Source organism: Homo sapiens, chromosome 18 (genome assembly GCF_000001405.40).
Source record: "Homo sapiens chromosome 18, GRCh38.p14 Primary Assembly".
Classification (NCBI taxonomy): domain Eukaryota; kingdom Metazoa; phylum Chordata; class Mammalia; order Primates; family Hominidae; genus Homo; species Homo sapiens.
In genome coordinates this window covers 24736441-24748619 of record NC_000018.10, presented here as the reverse complement: position 1 = coordinate 24748619, position 12179 = coordinate 24736441, and the positions used below count along the sequence as shown (strand labels likewise).

Here is a 12179-nt window from a genome sequence, read left to right as displayed (position 1 = left end):
TCTTAGCTGAAGAGATTAATGACACGACTTTGGGTCTTGAAGGCACTGAAATCAGCCTCAGTTCACTGGCCAGGGCTGTTAATGATGAGAGAACAGGCCTAGACTTCCTCCTCTCTTGTCAAAGCAAAGTCTAAGCAATCACTAAAACATCCTGCTGTACCTGAATGAATTCCTCAGCCAAGTGAAAAGGTCAATACGGAAACCAAAGGAGAAAGTCACCTGACTTTTAAAGTTAAGTCCTTTAGGTTTACGGAATTTGCCCAGCTGGCTGGATCCAAGACACGGGGGCCATGGTAGAGGTCAATACCACAAGCTGCCCTCATCCTGCTGCTTGGAGTTGTCCTGTTGATAGTGGGCATAATTAAACATTACATGAAATCGGTTGATTAGATTTGGCCCTGGTCTCTGTCAATCAGATTAATTAGAGTGGCCAGAGATTTGGCATACTCATGGAAAAATCACCAGAATCCAAGATGGTGTAAAAATCAGGGGTGAATATTGTTGGGGGAAAATTCTTGACATATCGCTAATGCTTCTGCACATCCCGTGAATAATGCAGTAATTGTCTTTCTCCAGGACTATCTATAAAGCAAGGACATTTATAAAGCAAACAGATAGAGACAGCGTTTTCCTTCAGAAAAAAAAAAGATAATTTGCTTATATTTTCCTGGAGCAAAGGGCAGGCATGCTTATTGTCCATTGTAAAAGATTTGGGTTCCCTAAACTCTGGAATGCTTTCCTGTAGCATATCCATCTGGGGCAATCCCCATCATTTCTATGGGACTTGAGAGGAAGGGAAACTTATGCAAACACACTGATGCTCATGCTGCTTGCTGTTCTGTGAGTAATGAGAATCCATTTTCTCTGACCCAGGAATCTCCTATCTTCTGTCAGCATCCATGAAACTGTGACAGGCTAACTTGTAGCTTGCAAATAGATAAAATCTCAGACGTTTTTAAATTCCTAACAGTCATGGAGTGTGATTTTGGATAAGCCATTCTCTCAAAAATAAAAAACATTAAAAATTAAAGAATTCTGTAAAAATCTAAATATTTCTAAGCTATATGTACAAAGCTATTTTTAGTTCATTTGTCCTTTTCACTTTTTGAAATTCCTTCATTAATTCATTCTTCAATTTTTACCAAACACTACTTAAGAAGTGATATAACAAAATAAAAAACACAGCAGATTCTTACCTGCCAGAGCATACGATCTGGTGGTGAAAGCAGAGATACCGGTCATCATATAGTATAGGGATCGCGGAGCATATCCTATGATAAGTGTCATGAAATAAAAGGGCAGGGAGCTAAGAGAAAGAATATCAGAAGGGACCCTCATCTAGTCAAGGGTAGGGGGGTGGACTGACCAGACAAGACATCACGGAGGAAGGGGCAGTGAACTGAGATACGAAAGGCATGTGGCAGTGAAGTAGGTGACAGGGTAGGGAAGAGCCAACAGCCTGTGCAGAGGTTCTGAGGGAGAGGATCTTGGCATACCCCACTGTGGTGGAAGCAAAAAAGCTGGGGATAGAGGTTCCAAATGAAGCTGGGGAGTAAGGCAGAGGTCAGATCAGGCATAGTCTTGTATTCAATCATTTTAAGGCTTGTAGCTTTATCCTATGACCTGTGGGGGCCATTAAAGTGTCCGTCTCATAAGCAGACAGAGTAAATCTTCATCTCTGTCATTCACCACAATGTTCCTAGCACCTGGAACCGTGCCTGGCACATAGTAGGTGCTCAATAAATATGTGTTCAATTACTTGAAAGAAAAGATACCACTTGCATTTTTGAAAGATCACTTTGGCTGCTATGTGAGAATGGATTGAAGGAGATGAAATCAGAGCAGGAAGACAAGTTAGGAGACTATTGCACATACTAGTGATAAATTAAGTAGCTTGGACTCGGGGGCAGCAGGAGAGATGAAGCATGTATTCCCTTACACACACCGTTTTGGTTTCATTAATCCTTAAGGATCTAGTCAACTTGGAAAATCATGAAAGATCATCAAATACAATGTAACTAATAAAGATAGTATGTTACATGATGCTTGGAGTCTTTGGGAGTAACCACTAGTTATGTGTGGCTACTGGTGCCAGCAAAGACAGTGAAAGAGGAAATTTGCTTATGAAGACAAAGCAAAAATTGGTAACTGAAGACACATGCAGTAAAACCTCCAGGCTCAGCAGAATAAACCCCAGAGCCTTTCCTCTTCCAGACTTCATCAAACTGTCTCCCCAGCCTGACGGCCCCTTGCTCCCCACAGGTCACAGCAAGTTGGAGCCTGACCTTGCCATTGCGGGGAGCCCTTTTGCTCCTGTGAGGATGGTAAGCATTTTCAGTGTATGTATGTGTGTGTGTGTCTGTGTGTGCACATACATGCTCAGCCCAGCTCGCATCCTGGTAAGAAAGAACTCCTTCCCTCAGCTTATGAGAGAGAATGTTAAGTGAGTATGTGAGAAAGAGGGGCATTAGAGGTGAGAGAATAGGACAGTGCCCCTCCAGGTCACATGGCATCCATGCCCCCTGTGTCACATGCCACACCATTGGGCATGGCAATTCCTGAAGCAGAAGTTGCAAAAGAAGTGGCCAAGGTTATTCTGGTGCCACAGTGGTCTCCATCTCCCAGCCCAGATGGCCAGGAATGCTACGAGGCAGAGAACTTTGCTCCCGGTGGAGAGCTGAGCACTTGGCACCGCTTAATTCATGACCACTCATGCCCACTGGACAGGTTCGCTTTCCCTTTTGAAGGGCAGGGGGTAGGCAAGGGCCCTAGAGAGAGAGTTCTTATTGAGAGACAGTGGAAAAGCTGTTCTGGTTCTGTCTCAGCCCTGCTAGGCACGCCCACAGCCCAGGTGGGGGCTGAGCAGGCAGGAACACTGAGCAAAAGCCAGTGGGGCAGAGATTTAAGATATGTGTCAAATGACAGAATAATACTGACGGAAATCAGCCACCAAGTGGTCATTCATTTTAAATATTTCTTACAAAAGGAAGAAAAAGAAACTGTCAATGGTTATATTTAAACAATAGTCCACAAAAAGAACTAAACTAAAATGTATTATCATTCTGATGTCTCATGAGGTAGACAGCATGTTGTATGTGGCTACCTCTTTTTAAAGCTTTTCATGAAAAGTAATTACTTTAACTGATGCATCTGCTCCCAACTCATTCACAGTGAGTGGAGACTGGGGCTGCTACCTGTGACCTTAAATTTGCCTTTGAGTTAAAATTGTTTTCACCATCTTTAAGATGTTGGAACAACGTTCTGACTGTGATTTTCACTGTCTTTAAGTACCAGCTGCTATGCTTTGCTCCTTCTTAACCACCAACACCCAAGGGGCATCAGCCAGTATGGATAATGACATGTCCCAAAAGGGCAGCCTTGCACTTTCACCAGGGTTTGCATGGGAAGTTTCTGGGTGGTGCTACTTTCAGAATCTGCACCCAGATCCTGGGCAAGCCTCCCACATCCAGTTAATTAATTACCCAGGATCCCACTGAGTATGGAATTACAAGCTTCTGAAATAACCATTCTCACTGTGTGGACATCTGAATTTCACAGTTATAGGTAGATTTTCACACCTATTTCATAGCTATTTATGATATCAAAAGTGAAGGTACACAGAGAACTTTGAGAAATAAATTGTTTTAGTCTGTTTTGTGCTGCTATAATAGAATGCTACAGACTGGGTAATATAAAAACAGTAGAAGTTTATTTGACTCACAGTTCTAGAGCCTGGGAAGTCCCAGTTCGAGGGGCTGCATCTGGTTAGGGCCTTCTTGCCCCTTCATAACATGGCAAAAGGTAGCACATGGCAAGAGGGCTTGAGAGAGAAAGAGCGAGAGGGCCAACTCACTTTTATAACAAACCCACTCTTGAGATAATGGACCCACTCCCACAAAAATTACATCAATCCATTTGTGAGGGTAGAACCCTCATGACCTAATCACCTCTTAAAGGTGCCATTTCCCAACACTGTTGCAATAAGGATTACATTTCAAACACAGGAACTTTGGGGGACATATTCAAACCATCAGAGAAATTAATAGTTGTTTTCTTTTTCTGGGATCCACCTTATTGTTTGAAACTTTTTCTCCAGCTCTCTTACTTCATACCAGATGCCTGTGACTTGAGAGGCATTCCTAACCAAGTGGTCTTGTCAGGGTTTTAGATAAAAGACATGTAGGAGGCCTGCCCTGCACTCATTTAAGCTAAGCAGTTATTAGGTGAATGTGATGGTTAAATTTTATGTCAACTAGACTGGGTCATGGGATACCCAGACATTTGACTAAATGGGGGTGTGTCTGTGAGAGTGTCTGGATGAGATTAATGTTTGAGTTAGTGGACTGAGTAAAATGGACTGTCCTCCCTAATGTGGTGGGTTCATCAAATCCATTCAAGACTTGAGTAGAATAAAAGGCTAAGAAATAATTCCTTGGCTGGGTGCGGTGACTCATGCCTGTAATCCCAGCACTTTGGGAGGCCAAGGCAGACAGATCACGAGGTCAAGAGACTGAGACCATCCTGGCCAACATGGTGAAACCCCGTTTCTACTAAAAATACAAAAATTAGCTGGGCATGGTGGTGCACGCCTGTAGTCCCAGCTACTTGGGAGGCTGAGGCAGGAGAATTGCTTGAACCCAGGAGGTGGAGCCTGCAGTGAGCGGAGATCATACCACTACACTCCAGCCTTGCAACAGAGCAAGACTCTGTCAAAAAAAAAAGAATTCTTTTTCTCTAAGTAACTGTCATTGAGCTAGGAGATCAATCTTCTGCCTTCAGATTGGACAGAATTTAGACCATTGGCTCTTGTGACTATCAGGCCTTCAGACTTGGGTTGGAACTATACCATGGGCTCTTCCAGATCTAGATTTCTCAGCTTCCATAATTGCATGAGCTAATTCCTCATAATACATATTTATTTTTATATATAAGGATTTATTATATATACACATATAAAATACATGCATATGTATATATGTTATATATATAGGTTCTGTTTAATGTTTTATATATATACATATATACATATATACACATATACACATATATACATATATACACATATACACATATATACATATATACATATACATATATACATATACATATATATGCATATATATAAAACATTAAACAGAACCTATATATATAACATATAATATATACATATGCATGTATTTTATGTGTATATATTATATATATATTATATATACACATATACATGCATATATATAATATATACACATATATGCATATATATAATATATACACGCATATATGTGTGTGTGTGTATATATATATATATATATATATATATATATTTGTTCTGTTTCCCTGGAGGACCCTAATACAGTGTGCTGCTCAAAGTTTTTGAGAAACATCTTCAGTGGCTTCCTATAAACTCAAATGCCTACAAACAAATGTAAATGAATGTCACAGCAAGAGAGGGTATGCCGTGTCCTCAGGTCCCAGCCAATCTCCACTCCAATTGTCTTTTGCTGTGTCAAATTGTGGGTACCACCATTGCCATATTTTTCCAGTTTTTAAAAGGAATCAAAAGTCTGGATATTTTTGTCCATGTTGGCAACTACTGCAAAAAATGTTTAAAACCTTGTGTGAGCCAACAATTCTAGTCTGTGAGCTAGATCTGGGCCCTGGCTGCCAGGGTGCACTCTCTGCTTTAAGGAGGTAGTGGGAAATCTTTTTGGATGGTAGGAAAGGACATGTTTAGAAATATTTCCCTATTTCTAAACTTGGAGTGGCTGCTACAACTGCTGCATGACAGCATTAATTCTTGCATTGGTTGTTTGTCTGAGGCTTCTATACAAAGCAACTCCACAGCATGTTTACATTATCCCATGAGACCATGGAGAGGAGCAAAAGACAATAAATATTATAATCTCCATGCTTATATATTTTAAATGGAGTTAAACACTCTTCAGATGGTGTGCCCCATGGAAAGGTGATAGAAAAAGTTGCACCATTTCAACTAAATGTCAGGCCTATATTCTCCCCTCAGTATGAACTTCACATTAGTCATTCCTGATGCATGTTGTTTCTCCTACTCTTTCACAAACACACTGACATTTGGCTAAAAATGCTATCAATGCTGGGTGAGGGAGAGACATAAATATTAATTTCAGTCAACACCCCCATGAATCATTTAAAAACTATTTTTCCTATGAATTGCTTGATTTTTTTCATTCTGATTACTATATTTTTTTAACTCACTACTGCTCTTGAAAGAATGTCTTTCCTGTTCTTCAACTTCCAAAGATTTTCTTCTCCCATTAAGCTGTACCTCCAGTGCCCCCAAGGAGTGGTGCAAGGTGTAAAGGAATACCCAGATGGCTCTGAAGATGTTTGTTATAGGGCCCTCCATTGTATTCAAATTAATGTCACCACATTAGCATGGGCTGCCCTTTGGTGCTCATTTGTTCCTGCACTCCGGGGGTTAAAGAAGCCGCATGCTTTCCAGATGTTCAGTAGGTCTTATAAATGAAAGATTAGCGATTTTTCGCTGCTGCTGCTATTTCCTTGAGTCCCTGTTAAAGCTGATATTTTCTTTAGGTACTTGCTCAGTGTCTGAGTCAGAAGAATCTTCTCCCTGAGGTATATCAATCAATAGCGTGCACAAGAAGAACAAAATGTAGAGGAGGGAGACATGGTCTGTATTAATTTGTTGACTACGATAGTCTTCCAATGACTGATATACGCAACCTGTGGTTGCATTCCACCTTTTGAAATGCAGATCAAATACATGTGACATTTTTCTCAGTCTAAAAAACCAAAAAACAAAAAAAACAAAAAAAAAACTCCTTTTTTGGTGAGAATATCTTTTGTTAGTGCTATGACAGGAATATCAACTTTATTTTCAAATCCGGCCTATCTTTCTTCCAAGCAAGAGATGTAAGTGTCTGCAATATGACTGTATCTAACTCAAAGATGCCACCAACAATGTCTTCCCAGGAGAGAAATAGGAAAAGTACCCAAAATGGATTCCAATAAATGAATGCCAGTTTAGCATCTACCATGCTTGCCTTTTGTATACAGAGACACTCCCAGGTTCCTGCTGTTCTAAGAGCTGTTCAAGCATTGAATAAGTAGAGTTCCAATGAGACGAAACCTTCTGCCTCAGCTGGTGTTTAACAAGCTGTTTTCTTGCTACAACTCAGTCAGGATTTCTCTAGCCTTAGCAGAATTACATTTCACATCTCCTCCTAATACATTCCCAACACTCCTTTTACCAAGCAGGAATAAAGACACACACCAACTTAAATAGAAAAGAAAAGCCTGGAAAATGCAATTAGTCTTGCTACTACCTTTTTGACAATGGAGAAGAAAGTGGCTGATAGGCTGAGAGGGAGCTACTGGCCTTTAAGGACTGTGGTATCTAGGATGGAATCTTTATGGAAGCTTGAGCTCCTGCAATGGGATGTCCAATATGACCCCCTTTTGAGGTAGAGATAACATGGAAGGAGGCTTGAGATGACAGTAACACTTGACGTCTTAATGCAAACCTAGGTTAGTTTGAAGGACGGGAGTCCCAGTCACATACACATGAAATAAAGTTTTTGAAAGACAGCTAGAGACAAAATATTTATAATATACATATAAGATTGACATTTTCAAGGATGCCAGCTCAGAATGAATTGCCATGGCCACTGTAGGGGAGGAAAAATCTTTTTCCTTCCAGTCTCCTAGTTTCAATGGCTTGGCTCCAAGAATCAAACTGATAAAAGACATTAACAAAAGGAAAAACAGTTTAATTATGTACATGAGCAAGTAAGCGTGGGAATTTCACAAAGAAATAAGACTCGAGGAGATGGCCAGTTGATTGAAGCTTATAGATGTTTGAAGCTGGCATACCATCATAAGCTGAACAAAGAAAAGGGATTTGGGGCTTCTGGGCAGGGAAACAAGTTTTGGGAAGGGCAGAGGAGGAAACGAATGGTAAGTAAGGGTCATCTTGTCTTGCAGATAAGAATCTCCCTGGTGATGAGAGAGGTCTTGGGAGTAGCACTCTTCCCCATAGAGAGACAATGTTACTCATGGAAATTTTCTTTATAAATATAAATTTCCTTTAAAAAAGGGGTGGGGGGAAATCTTTATTTTTAGACAGGAGGAGGCAAAGAACTTTTCCTGGGTCTGCAGGTTCCCAATTGTCTTTAACTCAAAATAATCCTTATACCAAAGTGGCACATTTCAAGATGGCATATTCTGGTACCGTTCATCCCTAAAACCACCAGCATGGTCAGGCTGGTGCCCAGAGAGAACCTTCTGAGGGGAAAGTTTTGTGGTTTTCTCAAAGGCACACATAATGCTGGCCCTTGAAAAGCAAACCTGCAAAACAGAGGTAAACATGGAGGATGACCAGGGTCGGGGAAGGAGACTACTGTACGGGGTGAGAGTACAGGGGAAAATAATGCCAAGCCATGCAGGAAAAAGTGGGAAATACCTGCAGGAGACTGGCGGCTTTGGCTTCTCCCTAATCTGCCAGGGTTCTCCAGGGACAGCTTGTTACAGGAGGAATTTCCCAAATGACATCAGCCCTATCTGACACAGAGAAGGCTTGGAGCAGACACCTGAAGGAGAGGCATTCAGTTGATTGACTCAATAACTGAGTTGTGGAGGTGAAGCTGATCGAGAAGAGTTCAAGGGGAGCCAAGAAGAAGTGATACAATGGAAACCAGAAAGGAAAAGCGCAGTGGTCAAGGACAGATAGGAAAGTCAAAAATAAGGTGCACCCTAAAAAGATCTTAGAAAACTGCCTTCTGATATTTCGACTGTAAAAACGACTGGGCACATATAAGAGCAGAGATAGGCAAACTCACCTTAAGGAAACAGACTTGCATCAGGTTAGCACAAGTGAGTCAATATATTAATATAGCTACAGAAATCGTGTGTAAAACAAAGAGAGGTTGTTTGGCAAGAGAAATTTTGTAAGTGTTAAGTTGCTTGAGCGAGGAATGCAAGCATTTGAAGAACAAATCAGTACATCAAGAACTAAGAGACCCAGACCCAAGTTAACCTGCTCCTTTAAGGAGAAGGAGCGAATGAATTATTCTTCACTTGTAAGATGTGAGCAAGTCTGGCATCCCTCAGGCCTCCAGGAATCCCAATTACCTGCTCTGCACTAGATCACAAGCCTGGAGCTCCTACAAGTTGCCATGAAGAGGACTTGAACCTACAGTTGTGGTGACCGCTACTCTCCCCAAGGTCTCTTCTTGCTCTCCAGGTGGAAAAGCGCATGCTCAGGTCTTGCTTCTCATCTCAATTTTCATTAGTGGAGAAAATTTTAAATGATGATCATAATTCAGTGATAGCCATTTCAAACTCTTTCACTGCTAGAGAATGCTAGAATATCTTAAAGCAGGAGGTAAGAGCTGGCTTTCACCTCTCCATCAGAAAACCAAGCAGTTAACATCATTATCATTTGACGAACCATTACCACCACTGCCACGTGATAGTGGAAATTTAAACTGACACTTCTCACTTGCTTCATTAGTAAACCATGTAAGCACTTAATAATGATAATCTGTATTTTATTTTTGCCTTGGTCCTAGAATTCTTCTCATCCTCTGTGCTTTCCAGCAGGAAGTAGATGCAGTCCCTGGTACACTTGTAAGTTTCACAACCAAACCTATTTAAACACAGATGTGCTAGTGGATTGATTTCCTTCTCTTTTCTGGTACAAAATAAAGTAACAGAAGGGGAAGGAGAGAAAGGAACTGATAAAATATCCAATTCAACCCAGAGAAGCACACTGTCTAAAGAGGCAGCTTTGTTCTGCCAATGGCCCATATCTCAAGCAGATACTCCAGAACAGAATAAATTTCTCTAACTCAAACTTCCAACATGTGGCATATATACCTTTATCATCCTACCAGATTCCAATAAGCTTCACTCTTAGGATGTCAGTTCTGTTCCAGGAAAATGTTACCACAGTTAGGTGAAGAAGAAAAGCACTATCTTTGATCCTTTGCTAAGTTACTGAGACCCGACGCATAGACAGTACCAAAGATGACCAGGCACACAACCGCCCTGAATGGAGACAGTTGTGGAGCCTCTGTGGATACAATACAAATAACCAACAATACAGGTTACTGATTTCATAAAGCCAATACCTGCCAATCCTAGTATTACGTACATGACAGATCAATGGGTTATCACACTGGATCATGAAGATGAAGTAGAGTTTATTTAGAAGGAATAAGAACAGGTAATGGGCATCTCTTCCACGTTGAGTAGCAGCATGTTATTTGAGCCACCTCTCCTTCTCTACCCACCTGCTTTCTCCTCCAGCTCCAGGGCTAGGTCTTGTTGGCATAAGCCAATTAGCACCCAACACTCCCTAGACATCCAATTTAGCAATTAGTTGAGATATAGAACTTAAATTAATTCAACAAAGAAATGCCTGGGGTTTATTTTCATGGTTTTGAGACATCTCTTCCCACCCCCCAGCCCCCACCCCCACACACACACAAAAAAGCTCACTTGTGTTTTCTCTCTCTCTCTGTCTCTTCATGGATAATGAGTTACATTGCCACACCAATGGCATTGGCACCTATTCTGTGACTATGAAGGGATCCAGTCCTAATATGAAGCTGATAATGTAAAAGGTGGAACAGAGAGAAGGAAAGAGACTGGGTCCTGGTTTATGCTTTTGGACCATTGAAGACACCCTGAAGATACCCTACTTACAGACTATGCAAATACGGGAGCCAAAAATTGTGTTTTATTGTTTAACCCAGTGGGAATGGGGGTTTCTGTCCCTTAGAACCAAAAGCATCCTGGCTGACACTCAGAAGACAAGTCAGAACACAACTCACTTGGGCCCAGCAGGAGAGGGGATCCCTCTCTTGATCCCCTTTAATGTCGGCTACATCTTTGCAGAGACAAAGACACAAGAAGGAGGGGATGGAACGTCATAAGAGCCACCTGCCCATCAGCTCCTCTTCAGCCTCCTCTCATTTTATTAAACTGGGAAGTAGTAGTGTGGGAATAAGCAGGGAAAGAAGAGAGCGAGAGGCAGGATACAGAGGAAAGGCACCAACTGGAACATGCCCGCATCATCCCTGGGCTGCCCTGGAGCTTTCTATATGAGCATTAACTGATTACACAAAGCCCTTCCTGGAACTGCTCTACTCTTCTGGGCCGAATACTTAAAGGTGTAAATATTAGTATATAAAACTGAGTTTAATGTGTTTTCAAACATAATTTGAAGTGTAATTAGCTTTGTTATTCATATTATCAGGAACCTCAAGCTTTGGTTTCCCAAGAGAAATCTGTGTCCTGCACCCATCATAGTAGGAGCTAACTGGCCCATTCTAATAGTTCCCCTGCCCAAATGCAGAGAAGCATCGAGGGGCAGTTAAAATCATTGGAATTGCTGGCTCAGGCTTCACATGATCAGGATAAACAAACCTCTAGCCAAGCAAGTAAAAAACTTGGTTTGCTTTATTTCTCTGCTTTCCCAAGTCACAGCAGTCAAGTTTTCAAGCCAAGATGCCTCTCAAATACCTTCTGAGGATTTTAACTCTTCTTTTTTCTTTTCCCTGGGGATCCCAAGTATAGTAATTTCATAGTCTGTCTCCAATAGGTACTGTGACATTTTCCCGTTATTATTATTGACACCTAAAAGAACCTATCCTCAAACACATTCATTGTCTTTTCCAGCCAGGGTGTGGGAAATCCATCTGCCACAAGCACAAGTAGAAACTTGTAAAACAGGGCGGTTGCCATAAGGCATAAAGAAACTTATGACAGAATTGGAAGGCAAGAAAGGTTTTGAGACAAAGTCAGTAAACGCCATCTGTGTAGGCCAAGAGTCATTCCAAAATTTGGGAGCCGCTAAGAAAGACAGAGGGAGACGAGGACAAGAGCGGGGGAGAAGCTTAGGAATCAGGCCGTGTGCTCTTAAGGGGGACTGAGAAATCATCAATTTCTTCCACACAGTTGGCTGATCAACTAGAAGGAGAGTAGGTCAGCCACAAGCCATCCCTTTAATACTCTCACTTAAGTCACTCAAGAACTCAAAACGCACAATTTGTGCCCTGTGGAAGGAATCTTTCGCCTTGTCCTTTCTTCTGCCATTAGACAAAAAGTGTGTGAAACCCTTATTGACACAGGAATTAAGTTATCATGATTTTGGAGAACTTTAAAATGGCCTGGGAGAA

General features: G+C 41.4%; 1 long non-coding RNA gene across 1 annotated transcript in view, besides 1 other annotated feature; it reads right to left on the bottom strand.

Annotated features, from left to right (window-relative positions):
• LOC105372028 (uncharacterized) overlaps positions 1-12179 on the bottom strand; it is a 40865-nt gene that overhangs the window by 18026 nt on the left and 10660 nt on the right. The gene's annotated exons all lie outside the window — the stretch shown is intronic.
• Positions 11513-11682: an enhancer, noted in NCBI's record as "experimental_47845 CRE fragment used in MPRA reporter constructs". NCBI's record gives its function as "activates a minimal promoter by MPRAs in K562 erythroleukemia cells, with activity observed for both the introgressed and non-introgressed 18:22316987 variant alleles {active_cell/tissue: K562}" and the evidence as "EXISTENCE:reporter gene assay evidence [ECO:0000049][PMID:34662402]".